The sequence below is a fragment of the Homo sapiens genome, chromosome 11, assembly GCF_000001405.40.
Source record: "Homo sapiens chromosome 11, GRCh38.p14 Primary Assembly".
Lineage (NCBI taxonomy): Eukaryota > Metazoa > Chordata > Mammalia > Primates > Hominidae > Homo > Homo sapiens.
In genome coordinates this window covers 2,015,582-2,032,383 of record NC_000011.10, presented here as the reverse complement: position 1 = coordinate 2,032,383, position 16,802 = coordinate 2,015,582, and positions in this window count along the sequence as shown.

Genomic DNA, 16,802 nt, shown 5'->3' with positions numbered 1-16,802 from the left:
AGGGAGCCAAAGACGCAGGCAGCCAGCCTGCCCCAACGCCAGCCACACCGGGAGCTGGGAGCCTCCTTCCACTCTGGTGTGAGGGCACTGTCGGGGGGGCCCCGAGGCCCTGGTCCACCAGCAAGCCCGGAGGAGAAGGGCTTTGGGGCAGCCCTGCCATCAGCAGTTTACAACCCACGGCTCTGGGTCCCCACCTGGCCTTGTCAGCAGATGGGTCCTCCTTGGGACAGGCCACCAGGGACACTGGCTTTAGCCCTGGGAACCAAGACATGGGGCCTTTGACTGGGCAGCAGAGACCGGCATGGGACATATCCCAGGGCCAAAGGGGCCAGGAGGGCTTTCTAAGGGGGCAGGAGAAGGGCAAGACGACCCCAAAGTGTGCCGGGGAAGCCAGCCTACCCAAAGCCTCTCTTAGGTGCTGCGTGAGGGTTTCCTAGAACAGTGGGGTGGGCCGGGCAGGCAGAGGGGCAGGGATGGGCTGGGTAGACTGGGGGCAAGGACCAGTGATGTTGTGGTGGCTGAGGGGCCTCTCGCCTAAAGCCTCCTCCTTGTGGGGTTCCCTGGAGGTGGGCAGGCAGAGCGGCCATGGCAGGCAGGGCACATTGGAGGCGTTGGGCCATGCTCTGCTCTCAATACCATCTCCTGGGCCTTGGGCCTCAACGACCGGAACGATGTCACCCCCGTGACACAGAGGGGTCACAGCCAGAAGAGGCCCTGCATGTACCTCGCTGTGCGGGCACCCAGGAGCACAGGGAATGCTCCCTGGTGAGCACACAGGGCAGTGAAAGCTGAGCTGAGCCAAGTCGTTTTTGAGCTGAACCTCAACACGGGGGCTTGCTGCCCCCTCCAAACTCCCAACCCAGGGCCTGTGGGCACCAGGGTCTGGCTGCTGCCATTAATTCCAACAGCTGAGCTTCCCCCTGGGCTGGCAGGGCCTCCTTGGCACTCCCTGTGCCCCCCATGCCAGCCCTGCACGTACAAACCCCACTGCAAGCAACACCCCCACCTCAGCCACAAAGCAGCCCTGTTCGAAGGGGCCCTACTGGGCCTCAGGGTCAACAAGACTGAATTCAGAGGACTGAGAAGGCCCTGGCAGAGCCGCCTGGCTCCTGGGGAAGCCATTTATCACTCCCAGGTCCCGGCCCGCTGCCTGCTGTGTGGCTGCGGCCAGCAGGCCTCACAGCGCCCGCCCACCTATCTGCCAAGAGCCCCTTGGCCAGGGCTCCCTTCACCACCCTCAGCCAGCGCTTTCTGCTGGGCTGGCCTTCCTAGCTCCAGAAGGGTCCGCAGCCCCTCTGCTCAAACCAAAGCTTCCCAAACCCACCCACATTTCCCCCCAGCTGTCCACTTGCCCAGGGCCTGTGGGCCTCGGTCAAAGGCAAAGGGGTCCCACTTGAAGAAATCCGAGTAGACGATGAGCCATTTCACAGAAGGGTCCCCTGAGGCCACCTGGAGAGACCCCTGAAAAACCCCCTGGCCACCTGGGGAGCCCCCTGCCCACCTGGAGACCCCCCTGGCATCCTGGTCCATTGCAAATGAGCTTTTATTGACAGCTTTTCAGGAGTGGACGCAGGCAGGCATGGGTGTGGATGCCCTGTTGGGGCACAGGTGCAGACATAGTGGGCCATTTCAGCAGCCGCCTGGGGAGCCCCGGCCCCGACACCTTTGGGCAAGGCCTCTGCTTCCTGGTGCAGTGTCTGGGCACTGTGTGTTCCTGGACTTCTGGGGCTCAAGGGAGCTGGGGCGGCCCCAGGGGCCCTGCCTCTGACACTGAGGCCTTCAGGTGACATGCTGGGCTGAAACCTGTGCCGTCCTCCTCTCTTGCCTGCCCCTCCAGACCTGGCTGTCATCTGCTCGGGCAGGCCAAGGGGGCTGTGGCCTTGTGTCCCTCCCCTGCTGAAGGCCCAGGACCCTCCTCAATTCAAAGGTCAGTGTCCCTCAAAGCAGCAGGCTATGCCCCACCCAGCACCACCCCCCACAGCCCCACACCACAGCACTGGACAGGTGGGAGCTCTCTCCACCTGGGGCCTGGCACAGTGTGGAGTGGCAGGGGCTTCCAGGGGAGCCCTGGAAGGATCTGGAAATGGGTGAAGGTCAAATCCCAAAACTCCATGCTGCCCTGAAGGGGAGGGTGAGGCAAGAGGCCTGGCAGCCCCCAGGACGCCTACAGCTGCTAGCCACGTACACACCCTCCTCCGGGCACCGCCAGCGCTGTGGCCTGTGCCTGTCCGTGTGCTGGTCCTGCGCCCGGGGGCAGTGGTGTGAGGACTGAGACTGGAGGCCTGACTGCCTGAGACCCCTGACCCCTCCTTGCTGTGTTGAGCCAAATGTGAAGCTGGGTATCCAGCCAAGAGGCAGCCCTGGAGCCCAGACCTGGGCCCCGCTCCCCAAGGAGCACATACTCCCGGCTTGCCGTCCTGGCACAGCTCAATGACACACGCTTTCCAGGCCTGCCTGGTGTTTGCCCAGGGAGACTGCAAGCTCTCTGCAGGCAGAGCCCACTGTCCCTGGAGCACTGCTCCCAAGGGCTGGCCAGCACTCCCATCTGGCACCCAGCTCTGAGCGTCCAGGACCCTCCAAGCCCCCAATGCCCCCATCCAGGCTGAAGCTCACCCTTGAGCTCCAGGTTGGAGGGGAAGACTGTCGACCCCAGGTCAAAGGCCTGTGGTCAAACAGAACCCACCCGAGCCTACAGGATTTAGCCAGACTTTAGCTTTTCTGTGTTCGCCGGCCCCTGTCTCTCCCAGCCCCAACTCCAAGCAGGCAGAGCTGGTAGCCCACTAGCTCAGGGAGGTCTTCTGGTTTCTGTCCCCGCCTCACCAGGAGCAGACTGGGACAGCTCTGGGTCTTGACAGGGGCTCTGCCCCGAGGTGGGTGGGTAGTGCCAGCTTTGCTTTTGGGAGCTCAAGCCAGCCCGGGTAACCTGTCTCCTGAGGACCCGGGCACTCAGACACTGGTGCTGACCCCCAGCACCCTGGGGCTGGAGCAGCTTGGCAGCCTCTCCAAACCCTGCGCCCATTTCTTACTGTCCCAGGAAGAAAACAAGCCGGGCATGCGGTCAGCTCCTTGGGCGTTTTCAGCCCCGGGAAGCACTGACCAGGGTGTCTCCCCAGAGGACACAGAACCAGCCCCAGCAGTTTTCGGAAGCTCACCCTGGCAGTCCTGGGAAGCCAGCCGAGTGGGCTGGCTGAGAGGGCGGTCCGTGCCATGGGTGGGGGTTTGGGCTGAGTGAGCAACCTGGGGTCTTGCAGGCCAGGGAGTCAGCCCAGCAAACAGCCCTAAAGTGGGGCTCTTGGGGACAGAAGGACGTTCCCTTTGAGTGTTCCAGGTGGCTCCAGAGCTGGCTGGGTTGATTGGTGGAGCTCCCTCCTGCTCCATCTTACTCGCCCTGCTTGTGCCACAGCTCCCCCAGCCCCCTCCGTCTTCCCCACTCGCTCGCTCTCCAGGATGCAGTGGTGGGGGGGGGTCTAAGTATTCACGCTGAGGCTTGGAGCCCTCCTCGCCAGGTGACCTGCTGGAGAGAGAAACCCCCCACCAGGGCAGCACTGGTTCCCTTGGTCTCTCCTGGAGTGGAGGAGATGGCGCAGGGGCACGGGGCAGGGCAGAGGGAACACGGCTGACTGCCACTCATGCCTGCAGAGGCTCGGGGAGTGCCGTGTGTGCTGAGCCGCCTGCCACCCATTTGTGATGAAGACTGCCCCTCCCCACCGTCCCGAGCCAGCCTAAGGAGGGCCCAGCCTCCCTCTAAAACAGTCTGTAGCTCACTCTCATCCTGTGCCAGCCTGGCGGCCTTACTAGCTGGCAAGGGAGGAGGGACCTGATTTGTCCTCCAAGAGCTGCTGAGCCCAGCCCCAAAGCCAGGGCTTCACAATGGAGGCACCAGAGTGGCCTCTCGAAGGGTCTGGGGCCCCCGCGGTGTCGTCAGAGGGGGCTGAGGTTCCCTCCAACCCTGGGGCAGGGAGAAGCTGCAAAAGCAAAAGGGAATACCAGGGCCACCTGGCCCACCCTGCATGCCCCGGAGGAAGGGCCGTTTCCCCTACCCTCTCCTGGAACCAGGGTGTGGGGAGACGGTGACATGGGGGCCTCGAAACTGCCCGAGGGCCAGAACCCGTGAGCTCATGGGCAGAAAGGGGAGCTGGACGGGCCTGGGCTGGCCTCTCTGCTCCCTTCCTTGCTGCCCTTTCTGGGGTCTCCAAGTGCCTGGCTGGCGCCTGTCCGGGCCAGGCGTCTACATTCCCTTCCTCTTTGGGAAGAGGACAGGGAAACTGACGCCAGGCCCTGAAATAGCCACCGTCCTTCGGCCTGAGCGCCTGTGCAGACGGCTGTGCTGATTGGCCCCCCTTGGTGGGCACAGGTGGCCCTGCAGTGGACAGGCCCAAAAAAGGCCAGCAGCCTCCCTGGGCGCTCTTGTGCCCCACACGGCCGGTGCCTGAGAGCTGGGGATGAGGCTGGCAGTGATGTCTGCCCCTGCAGGGGGCGGCCCGGGCCAGGCTGGTATAGCAGCTGGGACTGCCATTCACAGCCAGTGGAGACCAGTGGGATGGGAGGGGCAGCTGAGCCAGCAGGACCGGCGAGGGCACCGCCTGGAGAGGACAGGCCTTGGTGCTGGCGTGGGCAGTGGCGAGATGTTGCCTAGTCCATGCTGCCCAGAGCTCCATCTCCCCGGCCAGTCCCCATCCGGCCCTGAGCCATGGGACGTGTGCTGGTGGCCCCTGCAAGCCCGGCCCCGGGCTGAGCCTGTGCATTCTCAGAGGGAGGAGCCCCAGGTGCCTGCTGCAGAGCTGTGGGCCCAGTGGGCAAGGGTGCAGCCCCGTCAGACCACATGCTTGGTGTCTGAGAACCCGTCCCTCACAGGCCTGAAAGCCAGAGGTCGGGGCAGAGGGTGAAGCCCGTGAGCCTGGCAGTGGACGGGCGGCGGACTGGCCGTGTGACGGCATCAAGCGGCAGCTGCCCCCGAGTTCCACTTGTGTCACCTCAGCAGCCTGGGCCCTCCACGGCGCCTGACTGCCTAGCTGTCTCTGTGGCCACACTCCCTGACTCTTTAGCAAAAGGAAGCTGAGCTCCAGGGCTGGAAGTAGGCGTGCCCTAAAGAGGCCCTCGAAGACACCTGGGCAGTCAGGGACCATGGCCCCCCTCGAAGCCAGGATGGCCCAGGATCACCCTGTGTGGGTCTCTGTGCAGCCCCCACCCCGGCCCTGCCTGTCTCTGTCCCCTGTCTCCCTCTGCCCAGGGTCTGTGGGCCTCGGTTTCTCAGCCAGTAGCCACAGCTGGGTGGGCTGGGCAGGGAGTTTGAGGTGCAGAGCAAGGCGGGTGGGCGGGGGGATGAGGAAAGCTGCAGCTCACGGAAAGAACAGGGCAGCGGGCAGCACGGCGGGGGCAGTGACCCGGCCACGTCTCACACGTGATGCTGCTCTCCCAGAGGCCTTGGCCTGGCGCACCTCCCTTGCTAAAGTTTCTCTTTCCACTGCTTCCTGCTTCCCAAGTTTGCTTTCCGGGGTCCAGGCAGACGGGTGGCCACGGAGCCCGCTCAGTGAGACTTGGTTTCTTCTGAGTTCCACTTCCTGGAAGCTTCTCGCCCAGGAGCTGCCAGTCCCCTGCCCCGGCTGCGCTCCCACCCTTTATGCTGCTGCCCACGGGGATGGCAGTTCAAAGGGCCTCGACTGTCCAGGCTGACAGTGAGTGGGGCCGGGAGCAGAGGCTTGGGCCCCAGCACCTGCTCATCTACCCATAGACCCCCAGGCAGGGGCATCAGGAAGAAATAAACACAAAGAAAGCAAGGCCCGGCCGTCAGGCAAACCCAGATCCCACTCTCAGCCTCAGTTTCTCCGTGTGTCAAATAAGGGAGTGGGACTGGCCCCTCCTGGCTGTAGCACTGGCTCTCGCTCCAGGATGCAGGCCTTCCTTCTCTTGTCCCCAGCCCCTGCTCAGGGCATTCTCCCCTTTGAAGCCCCCTCAAGCCTGGGGACCCAGTGCTCATTCACCAGTGACAGTGCAGAAACCTGCCCTCAGCCAGGTCTCTGTTCTCTGCCACTGGCCATCCCTCTGAGACCGAGAGCCCACACCCAAGGCTGGAGCTCAGCCACACCCTGTTCTCTTCCCACCAGCCCCTCCTGGACTGTCCCCCGGGGTGGGTACACAGTGGGCACTTGGCAGGGACTGTGCCATGAACATGGGCTGCCCCTCACTGCCCACCTGTGCTGAGCAGACATGCACTTGGTCCCTGGCTGTTGGACCCAGTGAGGTGGCAGTGGCAGCAGCAGTGCCCACCATTCACACCTGGCAGGGAGACCTTCCCAAGGCCACCTGCCAGCCGCACTCAGGGCCAGGGCACAGGCTGTGCTGCTGGCCCCTCAGCCCACGCTTCCCAGAATGGCCACCTGGTCAGGAGGGAGAGGTCAGGGGCTCCGTCAGCCAGTGTCCTCCCTTTTAGCATCTACCAGGGGATGGGAAGGTGGTCCTCAAGAAGCCAGGGGTCAGGGCATCGCTGTGGGCGGCGGGCACCCGGGGCTCCTCAGGGTTCTCCTGGCCCTCCACAGCCACTGTGGGGAGGAGGTGCCTGCGGCTGCTCTGGGGCTTCTCCTGGCCCTCCACAGCCGTCATGGGTCATGGGTTGAGGAGGTGCCTGAGGCTCCTCTGAGTTCCCCTGGCCCTCCACGGCCGTCATGGGTTGAGGGGTGCCTGAGGTTCCTCTGGGTTCCCCTGGCCCTCTATGGTCATCGTGGGTGAGGGGGTGCCCGAGGCTCTTCTAGGGGTTCTCCTGGATCTCCACGGCCATCGGGTTTTTTGTGCCCATCCAGGTGGCAAGAGCAAGTGGATGAGACACAGGGAGAGGGGTCAGGGTTGTGCCCACCCTCAGGCCATGGTCCATCCCTGGCTCGGGACCAGACAGGGGTGGAATTTGGGAAGATCAGGAGGCACACAGCACAGAGGGGGTTGGCCAGCATCCACAGCATCGCCTGTACCTGCTCAGGCCTAGACACTCGGCGATGGTCCACACAGAGGCTGGGAGGACTGAGCTCCCTGCGCAAAGGGAGCAGTCAGGGGCCTCCAGCCACCGAGCACACCTGTGCCCCAGGGAGCCCTGCCTGGTGACGGGGCTGGGCGTGGCTGGGATCCTGCACCTGCGCCTCTCAAATGCTCTGCTTCCCCCGGCCTGGATGTCAGCTGGAAAAGGTCTTTTTTCCCCTTTCTTCTGCAGGGGAACATGTGGCCATTACAATTACTGGTGCCATGCAGGACTTCAGCTCCAGGCCTCAGGACCACAGGCAGCTCCTGGAGTTGGACGAGGGTGAGGAGAGAGGGCACAGGAACGGGGGCCGGTGCCTGGGTATAAGAAGACCCTTGTGGGCAGGGAGAGGGAGAGGAGGGGTGAAAGAGGACAGAAGCCCCCGGTCTTGATAGCTGGCCTGCCAGAGTGTGGGCAGGTGGCCTCTCATCTGAGTTGAGCATCTTGGTGAGCCCCAACCCTCCCGCCTGGGGGTCTCTGCCCAACCTGGTCCCTGGCCAGTCAGCCAGCAAGCCCCTCTGCAGCCCTTTCCAGAGGCTGCTGTGAGTCCGTGCCCACCTGCAGTCTCCCGCAGGGCCCTGGGAGGGGAAGGGGGGTGCAGGCGGCCCCAGCACCCAGCCTCACAGACACTGTTCCTCGGGAGCCGTTTCTGGGGTGCAGCTCCGACTCACACCCCAGAGCACCTTGGAGGAAGGAGCAGCAGGCCCCAGGTAGGTGCCGGTGGGGGGGCCCGTCTGCTTTGTCGCATTGGCAACCCAGCCCTGGAGCTGGGGGTCGGGGGGTCGCTGCCTGGAAGGCACATAAAGAAAGATGGAGCCTGGAATTTTTCCCTTTGGAAAAAGAAAACTTGTTCTAAAAGGGGAAAGATTGATGCTCTTGCTTTCCCACACTTGGTTTGAAGCCAACGAGGTGGTTTCAGAAGAAATTTTCCTCTCCTCTATTAAATGTAACCAAACACGATCGACATTTGCAGATCACACGGGGACCTCCAGGCAGCAGAGCTTAGGAACCTTCCTGCCTTCTGCCTGGCCAGGCGAGAACAGACGCACCTCTCACCCCCTGGCCAGACAGCCGGGCAGGGGCTGTGGGCAGGAGGGAGGTGGGGGCTCCTCAGGGCCCCAATGTCAGGAGGTGTCCCAGACAAGAGTGGAGGTGGAGGCCTGCAGCCAGGGGCTGCCCACCATCCAGCTGGCCAGATGAGGCCCCAAAGGAGCCTAGGTGAGGATGGCAATGGCAATGGGGCCACAATGGGACAGGGGCCTTGGCATCCCACACCACACCTGCCTCTCTTGGAGGCCGTCAGGAAAGCTGAGAAGCCAGGGTGGCCAAGTGAGGTGCTGGTGGCCCCTGCAGAGTCCCCCGGCTACATCTCGGCCGTGGCCCTGGCCGGGCTGGCCCCTCCAAAGGTGGACTCTGATCCTACAGGGGCAGTCCAGCCTCCTCCACCACACACACGCACACACCCACAAACACACACACACCACATACAGACACCCGCACACACCAACCCACCTCCCCACACCTGTACACACACCCATCTCCCCAGACACACACATACACACCTCCCCACACCAACACACACACAACCTTCCCACACCTGCACACACACACCCACCTCCCTGCACCCACACACACACACCCATCTCCCCACACCCGCACACACCCATGCACATCACACACAGACACACGCACAATGCCCAAGCACACAGGGCCTCGCTGCCCTTCCAGACACCCAGCCCTTACAAGCCCAGGTTCCCAAGAAACAAAGGTTTAGAGTTTGCTGCTTCCCTGAACCTCCCTCTTCTCGAGCCTCTGAGCACTCCTGAGAGCTCCTCAGACAAACTGGAGGCGAGGGGAGCCCCAGACAGTGCAGGGAGAGCCACTTCACTCCACCCTGGAGGGAGGGGTGGGCAGCAGGGGTGTCCCCTCCCCAGGGCCCACGGAATCTGCAGGGGAGATGGGGGAACACTGGAAATTGTCCCCCATTTAGACACTTGCAGAGCCAATGCCCCAAGGTCCCATCTTCCCGCCAGCACAGCCCAGTAAGGAGCCATGACATTCAGAAGGCCCAGGGCCAGCGCAGCACGATGGGCCTGGACTTCTAGGCAGCTTCCATGCGGCCGGGGTGCCCTCCTGCATCCAGCTGGCTGCCTGGACACAGACCCCCAGGATGCTCCCATCCTCAGTGGTGGCCGGAAGGAAGGCAGCCGGGGTAGACAGGGCCTGCGGGAGGGCAGGACTCGGCAGGCAGCCTCGCCTGTGGCCCACGCTCAGAGGGGCCGGTTTCCAGCCTCCAGTTTGTTTCCTGGGCAGCCAGGTTGTGTGGGGGCCCGAGGGCAGCTACAGCCGGCAAGTCCACAGCCTCTGTGTCCTCAGCCAAGACTCCATTTGTCCTCGAGACCACCAGAGGCCCAACAGCAGCCTCCCACTGACCACTCGACTGCCGACCGCAGGCTTCATCCGGACACAGGCTGTCCTGCTGCCGGTGCATGCACAGGGCAGCCAGATCCACCGACGGAAATGCAGGGCACCTGTGAAGCCGTGAATTTCACATAAAGAACAGAGGCTTCCTCAGTATTTGTCTCCAACAGTGTCCCAAATATTACACGGCACACACTCACACTGAGAACAGTCATCGTTTACCTGCGATTCAGATTCAGCTGCCATCCTGCACTTTACCTGGTGACCCTAAACCACAGAGCAGAGTGACAGCTGCACAGGTCGCACCTCCCGCTCTGCTCCGAAGGCCCGTCTCAGCTCCGCACCGTCCAGCGTGGCCATCTCCAGCCGCCACAGCTGTTTACACTGCGATCATGAACACGGCATCAGCCACGTTCCAGGGCCTCTGGAGCCGCGTGCGGCTGGGTCTCCTGGCTGGACTGGGAAGACCCAGAACGCTCCCATCGCTGGAGGAAGCTTTGCTGGGCCCTGTGGGTTTGAGAAACTTCCTCTGGTTGCCTGGCCTGCACCGACCAGTGGGTCTGACTTCTCATGCCAGGCCTTTCAACTGGGAGCTACCCGTGCCCAGGGCCTGACTCACAACTGTGGCACAGGGGCATTCACCTACAAGCAGCTCTCGAGGACACGCCTGGCGGAGTGCCTCCATCCGTGTCCGGACGCCATCCTGCTCAGCCCTGGGCCCGACACGCTTGTCTCGCCTTTGCTGGGGGAACTTGGGGCAGCCAGGGGCCTGATGCGGTCCCATCACCAGCAGAGCGCTCAGCTCCCCTCCCTGCCCTCCTCCCAGTGCCTACCCCACAGTGGAGCTGCTGACCTAGCGCAGCCGGATGGTCCCCACCAGCCTCAGAGCCACAGGCCCTCACAGCTGAGTCCCAGCAAGGCGGGACTCAGCAGGGGCACAGCTTGCACCCAAGGGCTGGTCGGCAGAGCTCTCCAGGGCTGTCCAGCCGCTGCTCCCCAGGCCCCGTTCTCCCAGGTTCTCTCTCGCCACGGGGAGAGGAGGGGAGGCTGCTGGGCCTGCGTGCTCTCCCCTAGGAGTGGGCACTGGCCAGCTGCATCAGCGGAGTCACGATGAGGGTGCTGTTTGGGGGCCTCCCTGCCCACTCCCAAGTCAAGGGTCTGGTGTGTGCAGAGGGTGCCTACTGTGTGCAGAGTGCAGAGCCCAGGGGGAGGCCAGGCTGCTGCAAGAGCCCAGGTGTGAGGTGATGAGAGCCGGGTGTGGGGGTGGCGGCAGGAAGGAAAGAGGGGCTCAGAGCTGAGTTGGAGCACTGCCAGCGTGGGGGTGGCCCAGGCCCATTCCAGTCACCCCCAACTCAGAGCCGCCACCATGGCAGTGCTGAGCCCCCCTACCCCAGCTCTTCATCCAAATCTGACACCTCCATCCCCTAGGACACAGGCTGACCAGACTGACCATTAACCTGCGGGCCTGCACTGGGCACCAAACAGCAGGCAAAGGCCCAGCTGACCCCAGACCACTGCAGACCACCCCAGACCACCCCAAACCCCTCAGGCCACCCCAGACCACTGCAGACCACCCCAGACCACCCCACCCCACACCACACCACTGCAGACCACCCCAGACCCCTCTGGCCACCTCGGGCCATTGCAGACCACCCCAGACCTCCGCGGAGCACCCCAGACCACCGCAGACCCCTCAGGCGCAGGCCTGCCTTCAAGCCCAGGCCAAAGAAGGCTGAAGCAGGCCTGCACCGCCCGGCCGCGCCAGGTCTGTCCGATGTCCTCGCGCCTCCCACCCCCAGACTCTTCCAATTGCTTCTGGGCTTTCCTGAGGCTGGGAGCTGCCTCGGGCTGACTGAGCAGATGAAGGGTGTGACGTGGGTGCCCCAGACGCAGGAGCCAATGGTAACTGCAGCAAGACGGGCTGCGGGCAGAGTCCCGCACCCTCCCAGGAGACTCATGGGGAGCCCAGCCCCACCTGTGGCCCCGCCAGCTCCACCAGAGCTCTGCACCTGAGGTCTGCTCCAAGGAAGTTCAGTGGAGCAAAGAGGGCGTGTGAATGCAAACCCCACCGTGATCCCTGTCCTTGTTTAGACTCGTGCGGCCCGGCGGCTCCCCTCTCCGAGGGCCCAGGGAGGAGGCTCACTCAGGACAGGCGGCAGGTGGGAGGGGAGGCAGGGAGTGAGTCAGGTGGGCCCTGGGGGTGGGGATGGGAGTGAAGAGGGCAGTGAGAGATGCAAATTGCTGCTTGGACTAGGGTCTGGACCCCGTGGAGAGGCGGCGAACCCCTGAGGTCCCACTGAGAACTTTCCATGGTCAAAATCACTCTTGTGGGGCACTGGAGCCGGCGCTCACCCCACACCCTGAAATGGCCAATCCTCTCCCCTGCTGAGTTCAGCATTTCGGGTTGCTTGACAATCAGCCTGGGTGGGAATATTTACACCATGGTCACTGGAATATGCTCCAAAGCAAAGCATGTGTTTTCTCCCTGAGAGCCCATTGTTAAAGCATCCCAGCACACCCCTGCACTGGCAGTAAATTCCTTTAATTCCTTTTTTTTTTTTTTTTTTTGAGACGGAGTTTTGCTCTTGTTGCCCAGGCTGGAGTGCAGTGGCGCGATCTCCGCTCACTGCAACCTCCGCCTCCCGGGTTCCAGTGGTTCTCTTGCCTCAGCCTCCCGAGCAGCTAGCTCACATTACAGGCAGGCGCCACCACGCCCAGCTAATTTTTGTGCTTTTAGTATAGACGGAGTTTCTCTGTGTTGGTCAGGCTGGTCTCAAACTCCCGACCTCAGGTGATCCACCCACCTTGGCCTCCCAGAATTCTGGGATTACAGGCGTGCGCCACCGCACCTGGCTGTAAATTCCATTTTTACAGGATGACTCGGGATCAGGGCCATTCTATGAAAGGTGATGTCCCTGAAAGACAGAAATGGGCAATTCTTCCCAAGAGTTTTATTAAGGGGAAAATATTCCATTTTGTTTAAACAAGGACAAGAGATCTGACGTGCCAGGGGCCTTCTGCCCCTCCGCGGATGGTTCAGGAGACCAGGCACTCCGTGAAAGTCTCCTACGAGGCCTCCAGCCGCAGGCAGATCCCTACTACCGGTCACTGTCACTGCTCAAGGCGGTGCCCGCTGGCTTCCCTGGGTGGGACTAAGGAAAGCACATTCCACTGGGCAATATCTGAACAAAAGCATCTTCTTAATAGGAAATTCACCTTAAAAGGTGACAGGAGTCCTCCCGGGCCAGCTTCTGCGAGACAGAGCATGTAGAGGGAAGGGAAACACGTCTAATCCCCAAGCCTTCCTGTGGCCCTCAGCCCCGGGGCCTGGCACCCCCACCCTGCTCTGGCTTGGTGGTTTGTAGAGGGGTGGCACAGGGCCACGGCCATCTGCACCTGTGGAGCTGTGAGAGGAAGGGAAGGGGCACAGGCTTGGCCGCAGTCTTCCCCCAGCCCCGTTGTAATCTTTGAAAGGCTCTGTGAGACACCCAAGAGTCAGATGGGGAAACTGAGTCCCAGGGCTCAAGGGCATGCTACGTGGAGGGAAACGGCAAAAGAGCCACCGCCCAGCCTTGCTTATCCTCATAAGGTGGCAACACAAGCCACTGACGTCCCTAACAAAGTGCCACGTGCTGGAAGGTGTGTGTCTATGGGGGTGAGGACATGGGGTCAGAGGGAGCCTGGCCTTTTCTTGGAGTGCCCCTGTTCTCGCGTCTCCCCCAGCCTCCCCAGGTGCAGCCTCTGCTGGTCCTTCGGAGGGTCGTGCCTGTGGTGTCTGTGGTGTCTGTGGTATGTGGTGTGTGGTGTGTGGTGCCTGCCCCTCTGTCAGGGGTGGGGCCAGATGCTGCGTGTCCGGGACAGGCTCTCCCTCCCCCTGAACATGCCTGGCTGAGGGGCACCGCTGCAAATGTCATTATTACCAGGAGCCGTTTATATGGTGCACTTTGTCCACGCGCAGGGTTTACAGCCCCTTTTATTCCTCATAAAACGGGAAGGGAGCAAAGCCCAAGCGTGTGGGGGCCAGAGCCTGGCTGCACCCGCTGGAGAGCTGCGAGAGGTTGGCGCGATGCAGGCCCCTTTGCCACACCACCCTGGCAGGCCCTGATCCGAGGGGACCTGGGCGAAGGGGATGGACTGTGGCGGGGCCCCTCTGGAGGCCTGGGTGCAGGATGACCAGGGGTCCCAAAGAACCCGCTGTGCTTGGGTTTTCTAAAGCAGAGGTGAGGGGTGGCAGGGTCCCTCTGGGGGTCTCGGTGCAGGATGACCAGGACCCCCAAAGAGCCCGATGTCCTTGGGTTTTCTGGAGCCAAGGTAAGGGGGAGGTGTTGAGGGGCTGGGACAGTGAGTCTGGGCTGTGTCCCTGATGGGTCCCCTCTTCCAAGCCCCCTTCCCAGCACATGAATGTTCCACGCTGCCCAGGCCTGCCATCTCTCGGGTGCCTGCCCCCACGCCGCTGCGCCTCTCCTCCCCCACCTCCCCCTCCTTGCCCATCTCACCTCTCTCAGGTGTGTGACACCAGCCGTCTCTGAGCAGCCCCTCACCCCTTAGGCCTTCTGCACCCCCACTAGCCTGCACTCCAGATCCAAGTAGGGGCCGAATCCACCTCCAAGCCCCTCTCTTCAGCCCTGCTGGGAGCCCCTGATGCTTGGAACAGCCTCAGCTGCCGATTCAGAAATCAGCATCCTGTGCCCCTACTCTGCCTGAGGCGGGTGCAGCCTCCCCTCCCTGAGCCCTGGTCTGCCAGGCGAGGGGTGCTGGAGCAGGCAGGTCTGGGGCCAGGGGCAGCAAAACTGCCAGGGGCTCACCCTCCACCCTCGGAGCTTGGAATGGGAGGGCAGCCCTGGCCCAGACACCCTGGTGAGGACCCTGGCCTTGGCTCACCCTGCGGCTCCTTCACAGAGCTCCCCCGCCCAGGCTCCCCAGAATGGAGTCCAAACTTCTCTCCTATCTGGACTCTCTTGCTTCTTTGGATTCCGGTAGCTGTGAGGGGACTGGAGGTTGGGGGTTCCTGGGCAACCTCTCCTGAAGCACAGGAGGCAGGGGCTTCACCCAGGCGGCTGGCTGAGGTCTAGACACCCCAGGGGCAGCTGTGGCCCCTGGTATGGACTTCGGTTGCCTGGGGAGGCCAAGCCAGCGTGCTTCTGGGGGTCTGTGCTCAGTGCCCCCTGCGAATTAGCACTATCTCAAAGCAGGTGCCCCAGCACACTGAGGGAGCAAAGGAATGTCTCTAACACTGCTGGAGGGCGGGGGGTCCCTGCGAGAGCCCGGGGAGGGATGCACCAGCCCACGGCAGCCAGGGCACCCCCTACCACTCCCATGCCCCCGCCTGGCTCCCCTTCCCCCTCAGCCCTTCACCTGGTCCAGGAGAAGAGGGCAGGAGACACCCCCAGACCCCACGGGGGTATGGGCAGGGAAGGGAGGCGGCTCTCAGTGGAGACTGCCTTGTAACCCAAGAGGCAAGGAGAGAGGACTGCCCTCCCAGGAGCAGCAAACAGGCACTGGGTGGAACAGGGTGCCCAGGCCTAATCATCCACCATGGCACTGTCCAAAGATGCCCAGATCACTGAATGCACAGCATGCAGAAGGGCTGAATCGAGGGTCACGTGGCGGGGGCTGCTGGTGTGGGCCATGCTCCCCAAACCCCAGGCAGCACAGAGGTCACCAGGTCTCCAGGGCTGTCCCTCCAGGGCCGTCCCTCCAGGGCTGTCCCTCCAGGGCCTTTACAGATCCCGAGTCCTGACTCCTCACACACAGAGCGTGGGCCTGGGAGTAGGAGTCCAGGCACCCCGGGCCCAGGGCCCTGCATCTTCCCTCCCCAGCCAGACTCACAGCACCAGCCAGACTCACAGCACCAGCCCTTGGGCCACGGGGGCGGCAGGCCCAGCTTCAGAGGCGCAGTGGCTGTCCCGGCCTCTGGTCGGTCTCGCTAGGGGCCGCCTCTCCCCACAGACCAGGGCCTCCCTTTGGGTGGGTGCTGCCTCACAAGGGAGCCTCAGGTGGGGGTGGGTGCGGCCGAGTCTTTAGTGTCTGCCCAGAGGCACCCAGCAGGCAGCTGACCCCCTAGACCAAAGATTCCTGGAGGCCGAGGCGCTGCCTCCCCCACCACGTGGAAAGTTGGCCCTGATCAATTAGACTGTGCGCTAAATAAATCACTCGAGGGGCTTAGAGCTGTGTTTTTGCAGCGGCTGCAATAATAATATTAATAACAATGCCCCTCAGAAACCCGGCCAAGGCTGGAGTATTGGGTGGGGAGGGGCCAGGTGCAGGGGCCATGCTGGCGTCCCTGGGTCTCTCCCCAGCCCCCTGCCCACCCACCAGGGCCCCGCCACCCGATCCACAGCCTGGCCCTGTCTCCTGGCTCAGGGCGTCCCGGGCGTCTCCTACCTGGGGCCCTCTGGCCATGGCGGGGCCGTGCTGGGACCTGGAACCTACCCCACACCAGCACGCATGCAGGGGAGGCTGGGGAAGCCCGGAGGACCCCCAGAGATACCCTGACCAGGGTGGACAGGAAGAGGCTGCAGGGCAGGGGGCAGGGTTGAGAGCACGGGGAGAACAGAAGAGAAAAGGAGAGTGTGGAGAGAAAGAGGGGGTACAGGGTGGGTGGAGTAGGGGATGAGGGTCTGGGCGCAGGTTCGGCCCCTGACTTCTCCAGGACCCCTCCTCCCACCCGGCATGGAAACAGAGTGCCCATCTCATGGGGACCTGCCCTGGAGGTCCACACACTCTGTGTAACTGTGGGTGTCCCCAGTGGGCACTGGCCCGGCTCTGCTTCTGGGATGAGGTTGAGTGAGCACATGGGGGTCCCTGCAAGGTCCAGGGCCAAGGCAGAGACACAGAAGCAGAGGGAGATGGGTCTCCATCGTCGCCCAGGCCCCTTGAGAGACCTCCACCCCCGCCAGAGCCTGTGGACAGCTGAGCAGGAGCTGCCCCCGCATCCTGCAGTGGGAGCGGAGGGTCGGCCAGCACGGGCAACCGACAGGAGCCGGCCCGGCCCCTCCATCCTCCTTCGGTGCGGGGCTGAGGAGGCCTCTGTCTGGTCAGGCTGCTGGACACCCAAGGCTCGAGAGGAAGCCATGGCTTTGGAGGGTGGCATTAGCACGGAGGGGAGCCGGCGGCCCACGGGCATCGTGCACACCCAGCACAGCGGTGGCACCAAGCCTGCCCTGAGGGCTGGTTCTGGGATGGGCAGAAGTGGCTCCTGCGGAGTGGCAGGAGAGAAAGGCAGGTGTGCCCTCCCGGCTCAGGCCTCTCCGCACCTGAAGGTCCAGAGGGGAGGCAGCCCCCAGAAGGCTGCACGGGCGGGGCTTACAGACAGGGCTCCGGGACCAAGGTGTGGGCCTCAGGGACAGCAGACAGCAGGGAGGGAAGAGGGGGA